This window comes from Homo sapiens, chromosome 4 (assembly GCF_000001405.40).
Source record: "Homo sapiens chromosome 4, GRCh38.p14 Primary Assembly".
Lineage (NCBI taxonomy): Eukaryota > Metazoa > Chordata > Mammalia > Primates > Hominidae > Homo > Homo sapiens.
The window spans coordinates 174,965,546-174,985,491 of NC_000004.12; the positions used below are offsets into that span (position 1 = coordinate 174,965,546).

The 19,946-nt window shown below is 39.3% G+C and overlaps 1 protein-coding gene and 1 long non-coding RNA gene across 13 annotated transcripts in view; one reads left to right on the forward strand and one right to left on the reverse strand.

Annotated features, from left to right (window-relative positions):
• The window catches only part of ADAM29 (ADAM metallopeptidase domain 29), a 59,823-nt gene extending 47,188 nt beyond the window's left edge, over positions 1 to 12,635 (forward strand). For 7 of the 12 annotated variants that reach the window (NM_001278125.1, NM_001278126.1, NM_014269.4 and 4 more), the window contains one exon: positions 9,801 to 12,635. In NM_001278125.1, the coding sequence (NP_001265054.1) occupies positions 9,981 to 12,443 (2,463 nt within the window). In that variant the 5' untranslated portion in view covers positions 9,801 to 9,980 and the 3' untranslated portion in view covers positions 12,444 to 12,635. Of the gene's footprint in view, positions 1 to 763; positions 921 to 2,788; positions 2,947 to 9,751 lie in introns of all 12 variants that reach the window. The other 5 variants (XM_011531556.2, XM_011531560.2, XM_011531559.2 and 2 more) reach the window with 3 other exon arrangements.
• A 101-nt stretch (positions 12,636 to 12,736) lies between these two features.
• LOC124900871 (uncharacterized) lies at positions 12,737 to 18,470 on the reverse strand. Its single transcript, XR_007058495.1, has 3 exons — positions 13,793 to 18,470; positions 13,513 to 13,625; positions 12,737 to 12,836 (listed from the first exon to the last, which is right to left on the reverse strand). It is a non-coding gene; the product is annotated as an uncharacterized LOC124900871 (long non-coding RNA).
• Positions 18,471 to 19,946: the final 1,476 nt, after the last annotated feature.

Consider the following 19,946-nt stretch of genomic DNA (forward strand, 5'->3'; position numbering starts at 1 on the left):
TATGTACTTATATATGATTATAAGAAACATGAGGTTAATTATAAGAAATTGGCTCATGTGATTATGGAGCCTTGAAATACGAAGATAGAGGCAGCAGCAGATTTGATGTCTGATGAGAGCCCTCTTTTGCTCTTAAAAAAATGGTTTGCCTACCACTGCCTTCTTTCTGTGTCTGTATTTCAGAGGAGGAGAGACGTGGTGTCCTCATCCTCTTATAAAGGCATGAATCTCATCATGGGGGCCTTGCTCTCATGATCTCATTTAAACCTAATTAACATCCACAGGCTCCACTTCCAAATAACATTATGCTGAAGATTAGGGCTTCAACATGTGAATTAGTGGGTACACAATTTGGTCCACAGCATTGGGCCCTGGTACAACAAATTCATGTCTTTCTCAAAAGCAAAATACAGTCATCCCTTGATATCCAAGGAGGATTGGTCCCAGGACCTCTCGCAGATACCAAAACCCAGATGTTCAAGTTTCTAAAATGGTGTAATATTTGCATATAACTTGTGCATGTCCTTTCATATACTTTAAATCATCTCTAGATTACTTATAATACCTAACACAATGTAAGTGCTGTGTAAATATTTGCTATACTCTATTGTTTAGGGGGTAAATGACAAGAAAACTGAATCTGCACATGTTCAGTACAGATGCAATTTTTTTTCAAATGTGTTTGATTCACAGTTGGTTGAATCTATGGATGTGGAACCCACAGATACAGAAGGCTGACTATATATTCATTCCATTTTAACAGCCGCATGAGCCTTAATTCATTTCAGCATCAACTCTGAAGTCTAAAATTCAAAGCTTCTTCTAAGCATTTTTAAAATCAGATATGGGTGAGACTCCAAGCAAAAATCCATGCTGAAACTAAATATCCCTCCAGCTATGAAACTGTGAAACTAGATAAGGTATGCAATTTCAAAATACAGATATGGGACAGGAGTAGGATAGACATCCTATTCCAAAGGTAAAAATCTGAAGAAAGAAATGGATAATTTATCTCAAGGTAGTCCAAAACCTAGCAAGGCAAATATCATTAAATATTAACATGTTAATCCTGTCTGGTTTGATGCTCTGCCTTTCAGAACCACTGGGGCAGCACTTCTGCCTCCATGGCTCTGCTGGTCATGGGCCGTACCCCCAAGGATTTGTGGGGCCTGGTAGCTGGCCTGGGTTAGTCAAGATCATGTCCCTCACTCTTTGAGACCAAAGAGGCATCCCCAATGATCTCTGAATTGCCTTTGGGATAATTCTTCCATTCTCTTGAAGAATAGCATATATTTGTAGCAGAATGGCAAAATAATTCAGTCCTAAAAATAGAAATCCAAGAGCTTTCCTTCATTTCATCCCATCACTTTCCCTTTCAGTTCAAACTGGTAGTGTGCCTGCTCATATAATCCTGTGTGTACGTTTTCCTGCATATATCGCCCATCTAAGCACTTTGTGTACATACTTGTATAGAAAATTTAATTGTGCTAGCTTTCATTTGTATGAGTTTGCTAGTGCCTCCCTTATTAAAACTTATTGCAGCTTCACCTCTTTCTAAGATAATTCAATAGAAAGCCATGGAACTTCTAACATTTTTGAGTTTGTTTTAAATCAGAAGCCCACCTCTGAAGTTTTGAAATAGTGAATCAAAGGGGCTTCAAACTGTTAATTTATTTTTCTTATTTTATTCTCTCAACATTCTAATTAAATGTATATGTAAACTTGTTCATCTCAATCATTGAGGTAACAAGATTTTTCTTTTATTATCTCTTCATTTTATTATTATTATTACTATAAAAGCAGTAGTGGTGGTTACCTGAATTAGCTTTGGTACTTGGAGTTTCTAAGAAATGTGTCTGAATACTTCATTTATATCCTGTCTACCCTCTTTTGCTATTTTCCAAAATTTGTTAAGTTGCTCACAAAGTGGCTCTCATATATTGCTTCATTTAATTCACATCCTTTAAAAATCTGTAATATTTCAAAATGTGCTAATTTCCTTCAAAAGCTTTTGACCCACCTTAATGGATTTGATGATGAAAGGGGAAACACTGCACATAGCAAGAAATGGTATGAAAGGAAAAGCACTGGATATTTCCTGAGTTTGGTAATAACTAGTGCAATTTATTTGCAATCCCTATGTATTAAAACAGTTTGGCTCATCCAAGAAGGTACTGCAGTTCTCTAGAATTAAGTCCTGTCATGAAACCGCTTGGACTCATTTAATGCTTATTGATTTTCATAAACAAACACTGAATTGTTGGGTGGTTAAGACAAAAACAATCGCACAAACTGATATGCTTTCTCCAGTATAGATATGGTTTCTCCAATACAGACACCCACTACTTGGAATGTCTTCGTTTCATGGCCTTTTCTTCTGATTTAATACTCACAAATTATTTCTTCCCAGAATAATTTTGCTATCAAATACCTAAAATCTTAACAGAAACTGAATTATTTTGTTCATTATACTCGCTTTATTATTTATTTGTCAATTCCTCTATAAAACCATGATTTTTCCTTCGTGTTTCTTTCTAAGTACATTGCAGGTGTCAGTACACTTGCCTTTAAATACTTCGTCATGAACACCATGAGCTAGATCTGAATTTTGTTTAGCTTTTTCTTTTGAGTTAAAATATACATACAATGAATTACACTAGACAAAGTGTGCATTCACTGTCATTTGACAATTGCACACACCTTTATAATCCAAAGACCTATCAAGCAGGAGGACTTAAGCAAGTGCATCAGTGGCCCTCTGGAACAGCTCTAGCTTACTGTGTTTCAGACTACATCGGGGAAGGATTAAGGCTCTAGCACTGCAGCAGGAAGTTAAATGTCTGCAGTCACACTGCCCATGCCAACTGTGGATCAGATCTTCTGGCCGTGGGGTCCAATGCATTGCAAAGGACTGGATCTTGTGTACAGTGTCTCTCTCCACTTTTTGTACGTAAGCACTTTAGACTTGACCTTAGTGTGCATGTTTTTTGTTTTCAGCAATCTTGAATCATGTGCTGGTTTCTTCTCTGGGTGGCAATTATCTGCTTTTAACTTTGGCCACATTCATGTCATGTTCTATTCTGCAGCACATTCTGACTATCCAGTGAATAGGGAAATAAGTAGCATAAATAATCAACTTTGTACTTCTTTATAAAGATTATTGTGGATATTCCTAGGTACTTTGAACATTCATATAAACTTTAAAATCAGTTTGCCACTTTCCGCCCACACACACACACACACACACACACACACACACACAGCTTAATGTAATTTAGATCGTGTTTGTCTTATATCTGTAAGTCAATTAGGAAAACAAAATTGCCACTATCATAGATTGTCTTCAAGTATTAGTACCTTGAATTTTATGAAATTCATTTCCTACATTTAAACTCACATAAATCCTCTCTACATCATTGTTGCTATTCGTGTTTTTGCATAAGGGGATTGGTTCTAGAAAAAAAAAGAAAGATGAGAGGATCTTCACCCTAGAAAATTCAACGTTCACAAAGACTTTCCATCACATAGTCAGATCTGTCATTAGAAAACTTAGTCTCTTATTTTCCAGTATTGGAAAAATTAACATCATCTTCTTCTTCATTTTTCTTTTATTTATTTATTAAAATTTTTTTTATTATTATACTTTAAGTTCTAGGGTACATGTGCACATTGTTGAAGACAGTGTGGCAATTCATCCTCTTCATTTTTCTTCATCACCATCATCATTGTCTTCTTTATACCATTATATATTTTAAATAAAATTACAGAACCAAAAACAAAGTAAAAATTAAAAAAAACTTCTACATAGGATGTCAGAATCCTAACTACTAAAATGAATTAAAATTGAACCTATTTTCAATGTCTTCACTTAAAAAATATCTTTTTTTCTGATTATAAATTGAATTTATATGTATTTGAAAAAAATTTTTAGAGGAAGGCCTTAGAAAGAAAATACAAGTAACAATTAAACTCACAATTCCAGGGAAAACCAATGTTAATATTTGTGTGTACTTCACAGTAAACTATATAAAATAAATGAATAAAAATATAGGAATATTTATAGTAATGTACATACATAAAAGAATGCTATACCAACATAATTTTTTAAAGTTAAAATTAGGTTAGTTATTTTTATCATGCTTTTACATTTCAAAATAAACACCAAGTATTTTGATGTGTCAGTTAATATCCTTTGAAAATATAATTTATACTAATTACTTTTCCATATAAAAATGAAATATCATTAATTTATTTACCCAAAGTTGAGAATCTTTACATATTTTTACTATTATAAATAATGCTATGATATTTTTCCCATAAATATTTGATTAAATTACTTAATATTACTCTGGAATAATTTCTTAAAAGGAAACTCTGGATCTTGACCATATTGCCACATTTTCTCTGCAGTGTGGGGCTTGATTTATCATTCTATATTCTGTATTAGAAGGCACCTGTCTCCACATCCTCACTGACTGTTAAGTGACACCATGTTTATATTACAACACCTTGATAGGTACAAGAAAAAAAAATATGGACCCTACATTCCTGGAAGAAAAATTCACAGAAAGAGAATATACACAGATTAAAAGACAATAGGATTAGTTATTAAGAAGATGAATACAATAAAGAGGATGAAGTGGGTGGAATAATTGTCTCCCAGAAATGTTCCTGTCCTAATCCCTGAAACCGACAAAGATTCCAATTTACATGGTAAAGTGAATTAAGGTTGCAGATGGAATCAAGGTTGTGAATCAGATGACCCTAAAATAGGGAGATTTCCCTGTATTATACCGTGAGTCCAATGCAATTCCAAAGGTTCTTATAAGCGAAGGAGGGAAACAGAAGAGGCAGAGTCAAAATGAAGTGATATGAGAATGATTTGACCTGCTACCTCAAACCACCCTTGAAAATTGAAGGAATAAGTCTATGAGCCATTAATGTGGGTGGCTTCTAGAAGCTGGAAAGGAATGAGAAACAGGTTTTTCCCTTTTAACCTCCAAAAAGAAACTCAGTCCTGCTGACACTTTCGTTTTGGCCAATGAAACTCATTTTAGCCTCCAGAACTACAGAACTATAAGGTAATACATTTGTGTTGCTTTAAGACACTGAGATTGTGGTAATTTTTTACAGCAGCCATAGGAAACTAATAGAAAAGCTAAAAGAAAAATAAACATGCTATGGTAGTATTAAAATCTATATTGTTGCCAAAACATTCCATGAAAATCCCTTTCATAGTGTTATCTTACGATCCATTTTATTTCTGTGGCATCTGTAGTAATGTTGCCTCTTTCATTTCTGATATTGAGTCTTCTTTTTTTCTTTATCTAGCTAACATTTATGAATTTTGTTTGTCTTTATTTTAAAAACTGCTTAATAGTCTATTTTAAGCTGATAAGTTCAATAGCACACAGAAACTCTAGAATAATCTCTGCAGTCACACACAGGAGCTCTAACACCCTACCCCACACTTTATTTTATTGTTGCTGCAATTTACATCCATTCATATTGTGTCTCTTTTAACATATTTTATTTCTTTTTTTAATACTTTTGTCTTTTGACTTTTATACTAGAATTAAAAGTCATTATTACTGTAGTAATCATTTCACTATGTATATGTATATGAAAACATCATGTTGCATACCTTAAATATGTACAATAACATATTTGTAATGAATAAAAAATAATAGTCATTTATACACCACTATTGCAGTAATGCAATATCTGTATCTGTCCCTATACTTACCTTTATTGTCAAGTTTCATACTTTCTTATGCTATGGTGTTGCTGTTTAGTATCCCATCATTTCAACTTGAAGAACTCCTTTTAGCATTTTTTCTAAGACAGGTAATATACTATTGGTGATGATCTCTCTCAGATTTTGTTTATTTTAAGTAGTTTTTAATCTCTCCTCCACTATTAAAGGCCAGGTATAGTGTTCTTGGTTGGCAGTTTCTTTTCTTTTAGAACTTTGAATGTATCATCCCACTCCCTCTGGCCTGCAAGGTTTCTGCTGAAAATTCAGATAGTTTCATGGACATTTTCTTTTATATGACAAGTTACTTTTCTCTTTATCTCAAAATACACTTTGTTTTTGACTTTTTACAATGTGATTACAATGTGTCTCAATGTTGATTTGTTTGAGTTCATCTTATTTGGGAACTTTTGGGCTTCATGGATCTGAATGTCTATTGCCTTCCTCAGATTTGGGAAGTGTTCAGCCATTATTTCTTTAAATAGGCTTTCTGGCCCCTTCTCTCTTCTCCTCTGATACTTCCTTAATGCTTATATTGGTGTCCTTGAAGAGGTCCTATCAGTTTCTTAAGTTTTCTCCACTCATTTTTGTTCTTTTTACTCTACTGACTGAATCATTTCCAATGATATGTTTTCAAGTTCACTGATTGTTTCTTCTGCTTCGCCTAGTCCATTGCTGAAGCTCTCTATTAAATAATTTAATTCAGTTATTGCGTTCCTCAGCTTCAAGATTTCTGTTTTGGTACTTTAAAAATATTTTCTATGGCTTTGTTGAAATTCTAACTTTTTTCCTGCATTTTTCTCTTGACCTCCATAAACATCTTTATATCATATTTTGCATTCTAAATGAAGTAAATCATATAATGATGTTTCATTAGGGTTGGTTTCTGAAGATTTATCTCTTCTTTCTTTGTTTGGAACATCTTTGCCTGTTTCTACGTTTTCCTTAGTTATCTGTGTTGATATTTGCACATTAGACACAGAAGGTCATCTCTCAGTCTTTACAGACTAGCCTTGTATAGGAGGAAACCTCCACCAACCAGCAAAGCCAGAGATTCTAGTCCTTCTAATAACTCTCTCTCTCCATGAAAAGAAGCAGGTGTGATTTTTGTCTACTCCTCTGTGCTGACCTGGGGTGGGAAACTATTGTATCAACCAGTCCAAACTACCATTTCTATTAATCTTTTATCCCAGGTGTCTAGACTGTACCAGACCCATCAGAGATCCAAGAGTGGCAAGTCTCTTACCAGTTCTTTGTGTAGTCCTGGAGAGGTTGGGTGCTGGGCTCATGATCAATTCTTTTCTTCTCTAGAAGAAAGCTGACACTTGGGATATTTTTTCTGCTTGCTCTGTGCTGAGCAGGAGGGAGTATCTATGGTGTCCACCAGCACTAGCTTCCATCTATTTTCTTCCCTGGTGGCTAGACTGTGATAGGCCTCTCAGAGCTCTAAGACTGGTCAGTAAGATGCCAGTTCTTTGGAGAGCCCTGGAGAAATTTGGGTGTTGGATGCACCAGTCAAGTCTTCCACACCCTTCCCAATCCCAGGAGAAAGCTGAGAGCTGGAATTTTTTGTCTGCTCTCTATGTACTGAGAAGTAGGGAAGATCTATGCTGTCTACCAGCTCAAGCCCCATCTCCATTCTCCCACAGGTGTCTAGACTGTGCCAGACCCATTCGAGCTCTAAAACTAGTTAGATAGATGCTAGATCTTCAGGCAGCCATTGAAAAGTTGGAGTGTCAGATACACAGATCAGCACTCTTCCTCCACAGCAGGAAGCTGAAAGCTGAGATTTCTTATCTGCTTACTGTATGCCAAGAAGTTGGGTTATGGGGGGGCAGGGTCTGTGGCATCCACCAGATGAAACCACCATCTCCATCCTCTGCAGAAAGCTAGATTGTGGTAGACCAGTCAGAGCTCCAACTGACAGACGTAATTCGTGTATAAAGCCCCTTTAAAAATTTTGGAGTACTGGACACAAATCAATCTCTTCCAATGACTGGGTGAAGCTGGGAACTAGGGGTTCTCTTTCTGATTGTATGGCAGTACACTGGGGACAGGGACTCCACTGAGAGGATGTTCTGAATCTCCCTACCAACTTTGGTAACTCTGATTTTTCATTTTCCCAGGATGTGGTAGTCATTCAATTAGCTTCAGAATTTCTTACAAAGATAATTTGTTCAAATTGTTGTTGAAATATGTTCTGGGGAGTAGGACGGTGCAGAACTTCCCACTCTGCCGTTTTGCTGATGTCACTCTGTAGGAGATGCTTGATCCTATTTAAACTTTCTATTTTAGAAGATAGTTGCCTTTCTATGTTTAGAGTATTTATATTCTGGTGTGCTTTTGTGGGCTGAGTTCCAAAAATGTTTAATTTTGATAGCTCTTTCAATATTATTATACTTTACTTTGCTTTTTTAATTCTGAAGGGGTTTCAGCTCAATCATTGCTGGTGCCATCTGGGGCAGAAGGCCCTTTCTAGGCCATTCAAGTCATTGGGCCACTTTGACGCCTGAAGATGGAAGGAACAAAAACAACGAGGCTTTGGTCTTCCTATGTCATTTGATAGAGGGCTAGGAAATATCAAGTTTGATGGATAATACTTCTGTGGCTCATTCAGGCTGCATTTCACTGGCCTTATTCTACAGCAGGGTTGTATCAGCTAGGTAGGCCTTCACTGATGCCTCTGAAGGCAGATCAGTTAGCTAGTTACCTGGTTATCGAATGACGGTTAGGTTAGTCATCCAGTGCTGTGATGTTGCCAATATGGGTGGAATGGACAGCCCACCAGTGCACTGAATGTGGACTGTGTTTGGTGGGCCTGCCAAGTCTGAAATGGCCACTGTGGGTGAATCAACACACACATGTGTCCTGACTCCCTGACTCTAAAGAAGGGGCTGGAGCAACTCCCCATGTCTTTGCCGAGCTTTTCCATTCTTAGTCATTTGGCCAGAAAGTGAAAGCTTTTCTTTAGCTATTATTGTTATTATTTTTGTCTATGCCTGTTGGAGGTTTGGGGTTAAAGATCTGTCTAGCACCCAGTTTGGGATATACATGAAAGATAAGAAGAAACTCAGATAACTGACCTTCCTCAAGTCCAAAGGTCACTAGTCAGAATTTTTCTTTTTATTAACCATCCTTCTATTCTCTATGTCCATGAGTTTTCAGAGTCTTTTTGTTGTTGTCCATTGACTTGTTTCAGAGTATTAAATTGTATTTAGAACGAAGGATAAGGAAAAACTGAAACTACAAAACTTTGTTCCAGAGCATGCATTTATCATAGATGTTGAATAATGTTCTTCTTTAAAAACATAATAAAGTGTAAACATATTTTGAGTAATACTTATTTCACTCCAAGAACAATCAGCTTCAAGTCAACCATTATTTATTACATAAAGAATTAAACCAGGCATTATATGAGACACTAATATTTGTGAAAGATGCAAATGATGCTCTTGAGGATCTTCCTGCTGACAAGGCTAGTGAGAAGAGGAAGTTAGCGAAGAAACAGAAAATTAAATAAATATTGTGCCATAGAAAGGTATATGATAAGAACCAAAAATTTAAAATAACATAAGAATGGTTTTTAAAAATGTCTCTTAGATAATGTTTTCAACTAATTTATCATCTGAAATGGAATAGAAAATCTATTAATGCTTATGACAATTTAACACGTGTAAATTGAAACTGTCTCAGAAATTGAAGATATAAGTTCAGCTTACCCTTAAAAAATTTTGTTTCAATTATTGTGGAAATATTTGCAAATAATTACATATTTAAAGAACTGTATAGTGAATCAATTTCCCACCGTTTATATTCAATAACTATCTGTGTATGGCCAAGTTTTATTTTCTGTACACTCCCTATTCCCTTTTCCCTATCAATATTTCAGAGCAAATTCTAGGCAATTTTTTGAGTCATTCCTTGATGAAAGCACTAATCACTTTTATCTCATGTTTTTTTCTCTTTCTCCTCTTCCCCACTGGATTCTCTTATAAGAAGAATTTCTGTACACTCATCCACATGCTGCTTTTTGTTTTACTTATAGTGCTGCAGCTCTGATGGTTCAACTCTGCCAAAAGATGGATCTTTAATGATTAGCACTACACACTGACCAACTCAGAAGAAGGAGCCACACCACCTGTGACTCCAGCCCTGACTTCTGCTCTGGACCAGTGTTTCCATAACAGGGACTTCAAAATCACTGTGATTTGAAGCCTTTTTGAACATGAAGATGTTACTCCTGCTGCATTGCCTTGGGGTGTTTCTGTCCTGTTCTGGACACATCCAGGATGAGCACCCCCAATATCACAGCCCTCCGGATGTGGTGATTCCTGTGAGGATAACTGGCACCACCAGAGGCATGACACCTCCAGGCTGGCTCTCCTATATCCTGCCCTTTGGAGGCCAGAAACACATTATCCACATAAAGGTCAAGAAGCTTTTGTTTTCCAAACACCTCCCTGTGTTCACCTACACAGACCAGGGTGCTATCCTTGAGGACCAGCCATTTGTCCAGAATAACTGCTACTATCATGGTTATGTGGAAGGGGACCCAGAATCCCTGGTTTCCCTCAGTACCTGTTTTGGGGGTTTTCAAGGAATATTACAGATAAATGACTTTGCTTATGAAATCAAGCCCCTAGCATTTTCTACCACGTTTGAACATCTGGTATACAAGATGGACAGTGAGGAGAAACAATTTTCAACCATGAGATCCGGATTTATGCAAAATGAAATAACATGCCGAATGGAATTTGAAGAAATTGATAATTCCACTCAGAAGCAAAGTTCTTATGTGGGCTGGTGGATCCATTTTAGGATTGTTGAAATTGTAGTCGTCATTGATAATTATCTGTACATTCGTTATGAAAGGAACGACTCAAAGTTGCTGGAGGATCTATATGTTATTGTTAATATAGTGGATTCCATTTTGGATGTCATTGGTGTTAAGGTGTTATTATTTGGTTTGGAGATCTGGACCAATAAAAACCTCATTGTAGTAGATGATGTAAGGAAATCTGTGCACCTGTATTGCAAGTGGAAGTCGGAGAACATTACGCCCCGGATGCAACATGACACCTCACATCTTTTCACAACTCTAGGATTAAGAGGGTTAAGTGGCATAGGAGCTTTTAGAGGAATGTGTACACCACACCGTAGTTGTGCAATTGTTACTTTCATGAACAAAACTTTGGGCACTTTTTCAATTGCAGTGGCTCATCATCTAGGTCATAATTTGGGCATGAACCATGATGAGGATACATGTCGTTGTTCACAACCTAGATGCATAATGCATGAAGGCAACCCACCAATAACTAAATTTAGCAATTGTAGTTATGGTGATTTTTGGGAATATACTGTAGAGAGGACAAAGTGTTTGCTTGAAACAGTACACACAAAGGACATCTTTAATGTGAAGCGCTGTGGGAATGGTGTTGTTGAAGAAGGAGAAGAGTGTGACTGTGGACCTTTAAAGCATTGTGCAAAAGATCCCTGCTGTCTGTCAAATTGCACTCTGACTGATGGTTCTACTTGTGCTTTTGGGCTTTGTTGCAAAGACTGCAAGTTCCTACCATCAGGGAAAGTGTGTAGAAAGGAGGTCAATGAATGTGATCTTCCAGAGTGGTGCAATGGTACTTCCCATAAGTGCCCAGATGACTTTTATGTGGAAGATGGAATTCCCTGTAAGGAGAGGGGCTACTGCTATGAAAAGAGCTGTCATGACCGCAATGAACAGTGTAGGAGGATTTTTGGTGCAGGCGCAAATACTGCAAGTGAGACTTGCTACAAAGAATTGAACACCTTAGGTGACCGTGTTGGTCACTGTGGTATCAAAAATGCTACATATATAAAGTGTAATATCTCAGATGTCCAGTGTGGAAGAATTCAGTGTGAGAATGTGACAGAAATTCCCAATATGAGTGATCATACTACTGTGCATTGGGCTCGCTTCAATGACATAATGTGCTGGAGTACTGATTACCATTTGGGGATGAAGGGACCTGATATTGGTGAAGTGAAAGATGGAACAGAGTGTGGGATAGATCATATATGCATCCACAGGCACTGTGTCCATATAACCATCTTGAATAGTAATTGCTCACCTGCATTTTGTAACAAGAGGGGCATCTGCAACAATAAACATCACTGCCATTGCAATTATCTGTGGGACCCTCCCAACTGCCTGATAAAAGGCTATGGAGGTAGTGTTGACAGTGGCCCACCCCCTAAGAGAAAGAAGAAAAAGAAGTTCTGTTATCTGTGTATATTGTTGCTTATTGTTTTGTTTATTTTATTATGTTGTCTTTATCGACTTTGTAAAAAAAGTAAACCAATAAAAAAGCAGCAAGATGTTCAAACTCCATCTGCAAAAGAAGAGGAAAAAATTCAGCGTCGACCTCATGAGTTACCTCCCCAGAGTCAACCTTGGGTGATGCCTTCCCAGAGTCAACCTCCTGTGACGCCTTCCCAGAGTCATCCTCAGGTGATGCCTTCCCAGAGTCAACCTCCTGTGACACCCTCCCAGAGTCAACCTCGGGTGATGCCTTCTCAGAGTCAACCTCCTGTGATGCCTTCCCAGAGTCATCCTCAGTTGACGCCTTCCCAGAGTCAACCTCCTGTGACACCCTCCCAGAGGCAACCTCAGTTGATGCCTTCCCAGAGTCAACCTCCTGTGACGCCCTCCTAGAGCCAACCTCAGTTGATGCCTTCCCAGAGTCAACCTCCTGTGACGCCCTCCCAGAGCCAACCTCGGGTGACACCCTCCCAGAGTCAACCTCATGTGACACCTTACCGGAGTAAAAGTGGTAAACAAAAGCAATCAGTACCAATTCCAAAAACTGTATCCAGAAAAGGTACATTAAAAAAATAATTCCTAGTATGTTTCTACTTACTCTTCATTGTTTTAAATAATTTGAACGTTTATTTTTTCTGAAAAACTTGACACTTTGTATTTCCTAAAAAAGCCATGGCATATGTGTGGCATACCAATTTTTAACTTGTTGTCTTTCAGCTTCCAAATCCTTTCTTCTTTTTCACTCTACTTTATAGGAACCGTATCTCTGCTAAACCAGACCTCATCCTATAGAGTTTTGCAACAGGGAGAAAGAATAGGAAATTAGAAATCTGGGAGATCTGTTTTCTTCGTTTATCAGTATTTCCTGAATAATAGGTTTTACACTGGTAACAATACTTGATTTTAATCTCCCCCTACTTTTTAAAACTCACTCCAGAAAAACTTCATTGTCTGCTGTCTGCTGTGTTACACTCAGGGTTCTGGATTCCAGTTCTTTGAGCTCTATGCAAATGTCTCAAACTTCCAGCACTGGCTGAGCAATACCTATTGTTAGAATTCTGAGTGTGAGATCCATGGGGCCAGTCCTACCATCTTCCAGGTTCAGCTAACTCCAGTCTTTTCCATTTGCTACTTAGCTTCATGAATGGAATCATTTTTTTGCAATTAGTAGTTCATATTTAGTAGCCAATTAGTAGCGTGGTGTCTACCTTAACTTGTTCTGTTCTTCAATTGCTGTTTACCCAATTACTTATATTTAATTATGTCCCTCCAAAATCACTCATGTGGTTTCCCTTTTTCTGACTAAGCTCTTTATAGTACTAATCTTGATATAAGGATGAAGCAGGAGTGAGAAGGCATCTTATGCTTTATTTTTTAAAATTTACTTTTAATTTTCAGGGTTTTTTTTTATCATTGCCCTTCACTGTCTCTGGAAAATTACTTAAACTTATAGACAGTTTACCTCAAAATAAGGTGGGATAATAATAACAGTTCTCTTTCAACTTCTGGGTTCCTCTGGTTATAAAATGCCATGAAGCACAGCACTATCCACAGCAGCAAAGACATGGACTCAACCTAGGTGCCCATCAATGGTGAAATGGTGTATTAGGGTTCTCTAGAGGGACAGAACTCATGGAATACACACACACACACACACACACACACACACACACAGAGAGAGAGAGAGAGAGAGAGAGAGAGAGAGAGAGAGAGAAAGGGGAGTTTATTAAGTATTAACTCACACAATAACAAGGTTCCGCAATAGGCCATCTACAGGTTGTGGAGCAAAGAAAGCCCATCCGAGTTCCAAAACTGAAGGAGTTGGAGTCTGATGTTTGAACGCAGGAAGCATCCAGCATAGGAGAAAGATGTAGGCTGGGAGGCTAGGCCAGTCTCTCTTTTCACATTTTTCTGCCTGCATATATTCTAGCTGTGCTGGCAGCTGATTAGATTGTGGCAACCCAGATTAAGGGTGGGTCTGCCTTTCCCAGCCCACTGACTCAAATGTTAATCTCTTTTGGCAACACCCACACAGACACACCCAGGATCAATACTTTGTATCCTTCAATCCAATCAAATTGACAGTAATAACCATTGCAAGTCCACCCCTTGTCAACTTGAACCCATACACATCTCTTGAGATCATGCATAATCTTCAAATAAAGACAATAATACAGTCATAATTATGCCTAAAATAATACAACTATCCTTTGTACAACTGGAAACGCACCAATCTCCAATCCAAATACTATTACATAAAATTAACAATACTTAAATGCTGATATGAAGTCAATAAATCTTGTCACATGATAAATGAGAAAAGAAATAAAATGAAGATATTTTCTTAGTACAAGTGTATACATGCACAAAAACGTTTTCAACAAAAGAAAGAGGAAATACTCATGACAATTTCAGTCCTCATTTCTGCAGCTGGTCACGTGGTCATGGCTGGTATTGATGACTACCTTCTACTACCCATTCTGTATTCCCTTTGCCTTTGGCAAGCACCTCAGCAGGCCCTTTTATTTTTTTTTAATTTCCCTGGTGGAGTGACCCAAACCTTCATTCCTGTGGGGTCTGGTCATTTGTAGTCTTGCCTGGATTGGGCTGTTGTAGTTTCCCATTTACCTTAATCACAGAGCATGGTAATACTAAGAGACGCCCTAATGGATCTCCTGTTTTCCATGCATACTCTTCCTTACCTCCATTGTGGAGTAATAGACTGATTTCCTCTTAATAGTCTGGGTAAATCACCCCAGCCAACACTGTAACTCCCTTCTTAGCCTGTTGACTTAAAGTAGGAGGAGCCCAAAGTGTCCAGGTGGCGATCTTCATTTCCAGTTTAATGGAATCGTTGTTGTGTATCCTGGTGGCAGCATTCCTCCCTCTGGAACGAAGACCTCTGGGCCAGCAGAACGTAATGTCATGGAAACAGGAAGCAAAAATTTTGCTAGTGGATCACTATGGGTAATGGTGAGTGGTGTCACTTCCACCCCTTGATTCCTTGAGCCATGAATCCTGCCTACAGGAGAAACAGTACCATATATCGGATGCTGATTCAGAGCACATACAGCCTTGTGGAGAACTTTGTCCCAGTCATGAAAAGTATAGTCACCTAGTTGGCATTGTAATTGTGACTTCAAAAGGCCATTCTACCATTCTATCAATCCAGCTGCTTCAGGATGATGGGGAACACGGTAAGACCAGTGAATTCCAGAAGCATGAGCCCACTGCTACACTTCTTTAGTTGTAAAGTAAGTGCCTTGGTCTGAGGCAATGCTGTGTGGAATACCACGATGGTGGATAAGGCATTCTGTGAGTCCACAGATGGTAGTCTGGCAGAAGCATTGCATGCAGGATAGGCAAATCCATATCCGGAGTGTCTATTCCAGTGAGGGCAAACCTCTACTCTTCCCATGATGGAAGAGGTCCAATATAATCAACATGCCACCAGGGAGCTAGCTGATTACCCTGAAGAATGGTGCCAAATAGAGGGCTCAGTTTTGGTCTCTGCTGCTGGCAAATTGGGCACCCAGCTGTGGCCTTAGCCAAATCAGCCTTGGTGAGTGGAAGTCCATGTTGCTGAGCCCATGCATAACCTCTGTCCCTACCACCATGGCCGTTTTGTTCATGGGCCCATTGGGTGATGATGGGGTGGCTGGGGAAAGAGGCTGGGTGGTGTCCACAGAAAGAGTCATCTTATCCACTTGATCATTAAAATCCTCATCTGCTGAGGTCACCTGTTGGTGCACTCACATGGAATACAAATATCTTCACAGTTTTTGACCACTCAGTGAGTTCCATCCACATACCTCTTCCCAAATTTCTTTGTCACCGACTTTTCAATCATGCTTCTCCCAAGTCCCAGACCATCCAGCCAAACCATTGGCTACAGCCCGTGAATTAGTATATAATTGCACATCTGGCCATTCCTCCTTCTATGCAGATTGCACAACCAGGTGCATTGCTTGAAGTTCTGTGCACTGGGAATACTTCCCTTCAGGTCTATGCTTCAGAGATGTCCTAGAAAGGGTCTGCAGTGCTAGAGCTGTCCACTTTCGGGTGATGCCTGCATATCATGAAGAACCATCTGTGAATCAGGCCCTAGTCTTCTCTTCCTCTGTCAACTGATCATAGATAACTCCCCATGAGGCCATTGGTGCAGGCTGGGGAAGAGAAGGCAGGGTGGCAGGAGTGGAGACCATGGGCATTTGAGCCACTTCCTCTTGTAACTTACTTGCGCCTTCAGGACCTGCTTGAGCCCGATCACATACATACCACTTCCATTGATAATGGAATGCTGCTGTGCATGACCTAATTTATGGCTAAATGGGTCAGAAAGCACCCAGTTCATGAAAGGCAGTTCAGGTCACATGGTGACTTGATGACCCATAGTCAAACATTCAATTTCCACCAAAGCCCAGTAGCAGGCCAAGAGCTGTCTCTCAAAAGGAGAGTAGTTATCTGCAGAAGATGGCAGGGCCTTGTTCCAAAATCCTAGGGGCCTCTGCTCTGATTCACCTATGGGGGCCTGCCAAAGGCTGCGAACAGCATCCCTATCAGCCACTGACACCTCAAGCACCACTGGATCTGTGGGGTCATATGGCCCAAGTGGCAGAACAGCTTGAACAGCAGCTTGGATCTCTTGCAGAACCTTCTCCTGTTCTGGATCCCACTCAAAACTTGCAGCTTTTCGGGTCACTTGATAAATGGCCTGGAGTAACACACCCAACTGAGGAATGTGATGCCTCCAAAATCCAAATAGGCCCACTAGGTGTGGTGCCTCTTTTTTGATTGTAGGAGGGGCCAAATGCAGCAACCTATCCTTCATCCTGGAAGGATTATCTCGACAGTCCCAACATCATTGGACCCCTAGAAATTTTACTGAGGTAGAAGGTTCCTGAATTTTAGTCAGATTAATTTCCCATCCTCTGGCATGCAAATATCTCACCAATAAGTCCAGTGTGTTTGCTACTTCTTGCTCACTGGCTCCAATCAGCATAATGTCACCAATGTGATGGACCAGTGTGATATCTTGTGGAAGTGAAAAGTGATCAAGGTATCTCTGAATAAGATTATGACACAAAGCTGTAGAATTGACATACCCCTTAGGTAGAATAGTAAAGGTATATTGTGAGCCTTGCCAACTGAAGGCAAATTTCTTCTGGTGGGGCTTTGGACAGGAATGGAGAAAACAAATTTGCCAATTCAATGGCTGTGTATCAGGTACCAGGAGATACCAAGACCAGCTCAGCCGAGGAGACCCCAGCCCAGCAGCGCTAGAGGAATTGAAGACAAAGACACAGAAATAGAGTGCAAAGTGAGAATCAGGGGGCTAACAGCCTTCAGAGCTGACAGCCATGAACAGAGTTTGACCCACATATTTATTGATAGCAAGGCAGTGATAAGCATTGCTTCTATAGATTATAGATTAACTGAAAGCATTCCTTACGGGAAACAAAGCTTTCTTAGTGAGGAGAAGAGAAATAAGCTTTGGCTGATTATCTGCAGCAAAAATATATTGTTAAAGTACAGGCCACTCCTGCTGTTGTTTGTGGTTTGAGCAGTTTTCCACTCCGGGTGGGCCAGGTGTTCCTTGCCCTGCTCCAGTAAACCAACAACTTCTAGCAGTGTGTGTGATAGCCATCAAGAGCATGTCACATTGCTGCAGAAATCCTGTTTCTGGCCAGTTTCTTTAAGGCCCGTTTGTGACAGGCTTAGGGATTGTTCCCAGCATGTCTGCCTTTCTGTTTTTGCAAAGCAATAAAGGCAAAGGCAGCTTTTTCACAGTGGGCTACTTCTTGCAGAATTTAGGATCCGCATCTGCAGACTACACAAAGACAACACCAATTAAAAGCACAATCATCATTGAAATCACAGAGCCTCCGAGTGTCTTGGTCCGTTTTAACCAGTTAATAGCTGCTAATCCATCTGCAGCTCCTTCAAACACTTCAGTTCCTGGCATTAGCGTCAGATGTGCCTGAGAGGCTTGAAATACTTGTTCCTTCAGTTTTGCAATATCCAAAGATAAATTTCCAGTATGACCCTTTAAATGTCTCTTAATTATTTCCCACTCATGCTCTGTTTCATTATACAAATGAGGAGTAATGCAAAAATCAGAAGTATTCCAGTCACATTGTAACTGTATTCTATATTCTAAACTACTTACTCGATCTCCTAGCCACATTACAATTTATCGGAGATCATTGATTTGATTAGCTAGTTTCAGGTCTATATTAGTTTGGGAATTCCACAGCAGAGTAGAATTTAAAAAAAAAAATTTTTTTTTTTTGTATTTATTGATCATTCTTGGGTGTTTCTCGGAGAGGGGGATGTGGCAGGGTCATAGGATAATAGTGGAGAGAAGGTCAGCAGATAAACACATGAACAAAGGTCTCTGGTTTTCCTAGGCAGAGGTCCCTGCGGCCTTCTGCAGTGTTTGTGTCCCTGGGTACTTGAGATTAGGGAGTGGTGATGACTCTTAACGAGCATGCTGCCTTCAAGCATCTGTTTAACAAAGCACATCTTGCACCGCCCTTAATCCATTTAACCCTGAGTTGACACAGCACATGTTTCAGAGAGCACGGGGTTGGGGGTAAGGTTATAGATTAACAGCATCCCAAGGCAGAAGAATTTTTCTTAGTACAGAACAAAATGGAGTCTCCTATGTCTACTTCTTTCTACACAGACACAGTAACAATCTGATCTTTCTTTCTTTTCCCCACATTTCCCCCTTTTCTTTTCGACAAAACTGCCATCGTCATCATGGCCCGTTCTCGATGGTTGCTGTCTTTTTGGAGCAGTTGGGTACACCTCCAGAAATGCTGTCACTTCACACTTGGAAGATTGCACAGCAGCCAGGCAGAGGCGCTCCTCACCTCCCAGACAGGGCGGCTGGGAAGAGGCGCTCCTCACTTCCCAGACGGGAATTCCACAGAAGAGTAGAATTTTTCTGCCAATTATTTACATAGTCTGCTGTTTGTACTGTGGAATGCTAAGAAACTCCAGCTACCATGGCAGTAGCTGTGACAGCAATCAATCACATAATGATTAAAATTAAAGTAGCAATGAAACACCAAGAGCGCCTCAAAATCTTTTGAAGAATTTCAGTAATAATATGCACAGAAGGAGAGACTTCCAAAGGATGGGAAATTCTTACAGGTATCCATACTCCTTCTCAGGCTCTTACCGCTAAAATAGAATGATCAGTATTATACAAGGAAGAATTCACACAAGAAGACAATATACATTATTAACAAGTCACATGATGATTAGTGAGATCAAGTTTTAAATCACCCACTACAAGCAGGAAAGAGGCCTCATTATCAGTCTCGACATGGTTGCAACTGGGGAGTCTTCGGGGTGCCTCCCAAATCTCTTCCTCAGCATCTGGCTCATGATAAGGTTTCAGGTGTCTTGATGGTATCCAAATTGGCTGCTAGTTTTGGCCTGGAGAAACACAAGCATAACCTCTACCCCATATTATTTTACCTATTTCCCAACTTTTTGTTATTGGATCTCTCCACCAAACCGGTTGTTCTGCTTCTGTCTTTGCTGCTGGTTTCTGTAGATGCTGTTCAGTTGCTGATAGCATCTGGCCTTTAGATAGGCTCAAAAAATTTAAAGTCAATAATGCTAGATTCAATTGCATATGTGGAGTCCCATATTCACTGTTTCCCCCTTTTTGTTTTTGTAACTACTGTTTTAGGGAGAGATTCATTCTTTCCACAATGGCTTGTCCTTGTGAATTATATGGGATGCCAGTAATGTGTTTAATATTCCTTACAGAGAAAAATGTAGCTAGAGCTTGGCTAGTATAGCCTGAGGCATTGTCCGTTTTAACTGAATCTGGAATGCCCATGACTGTGAAGCATTTCAGAAGATGCCATTTAACAT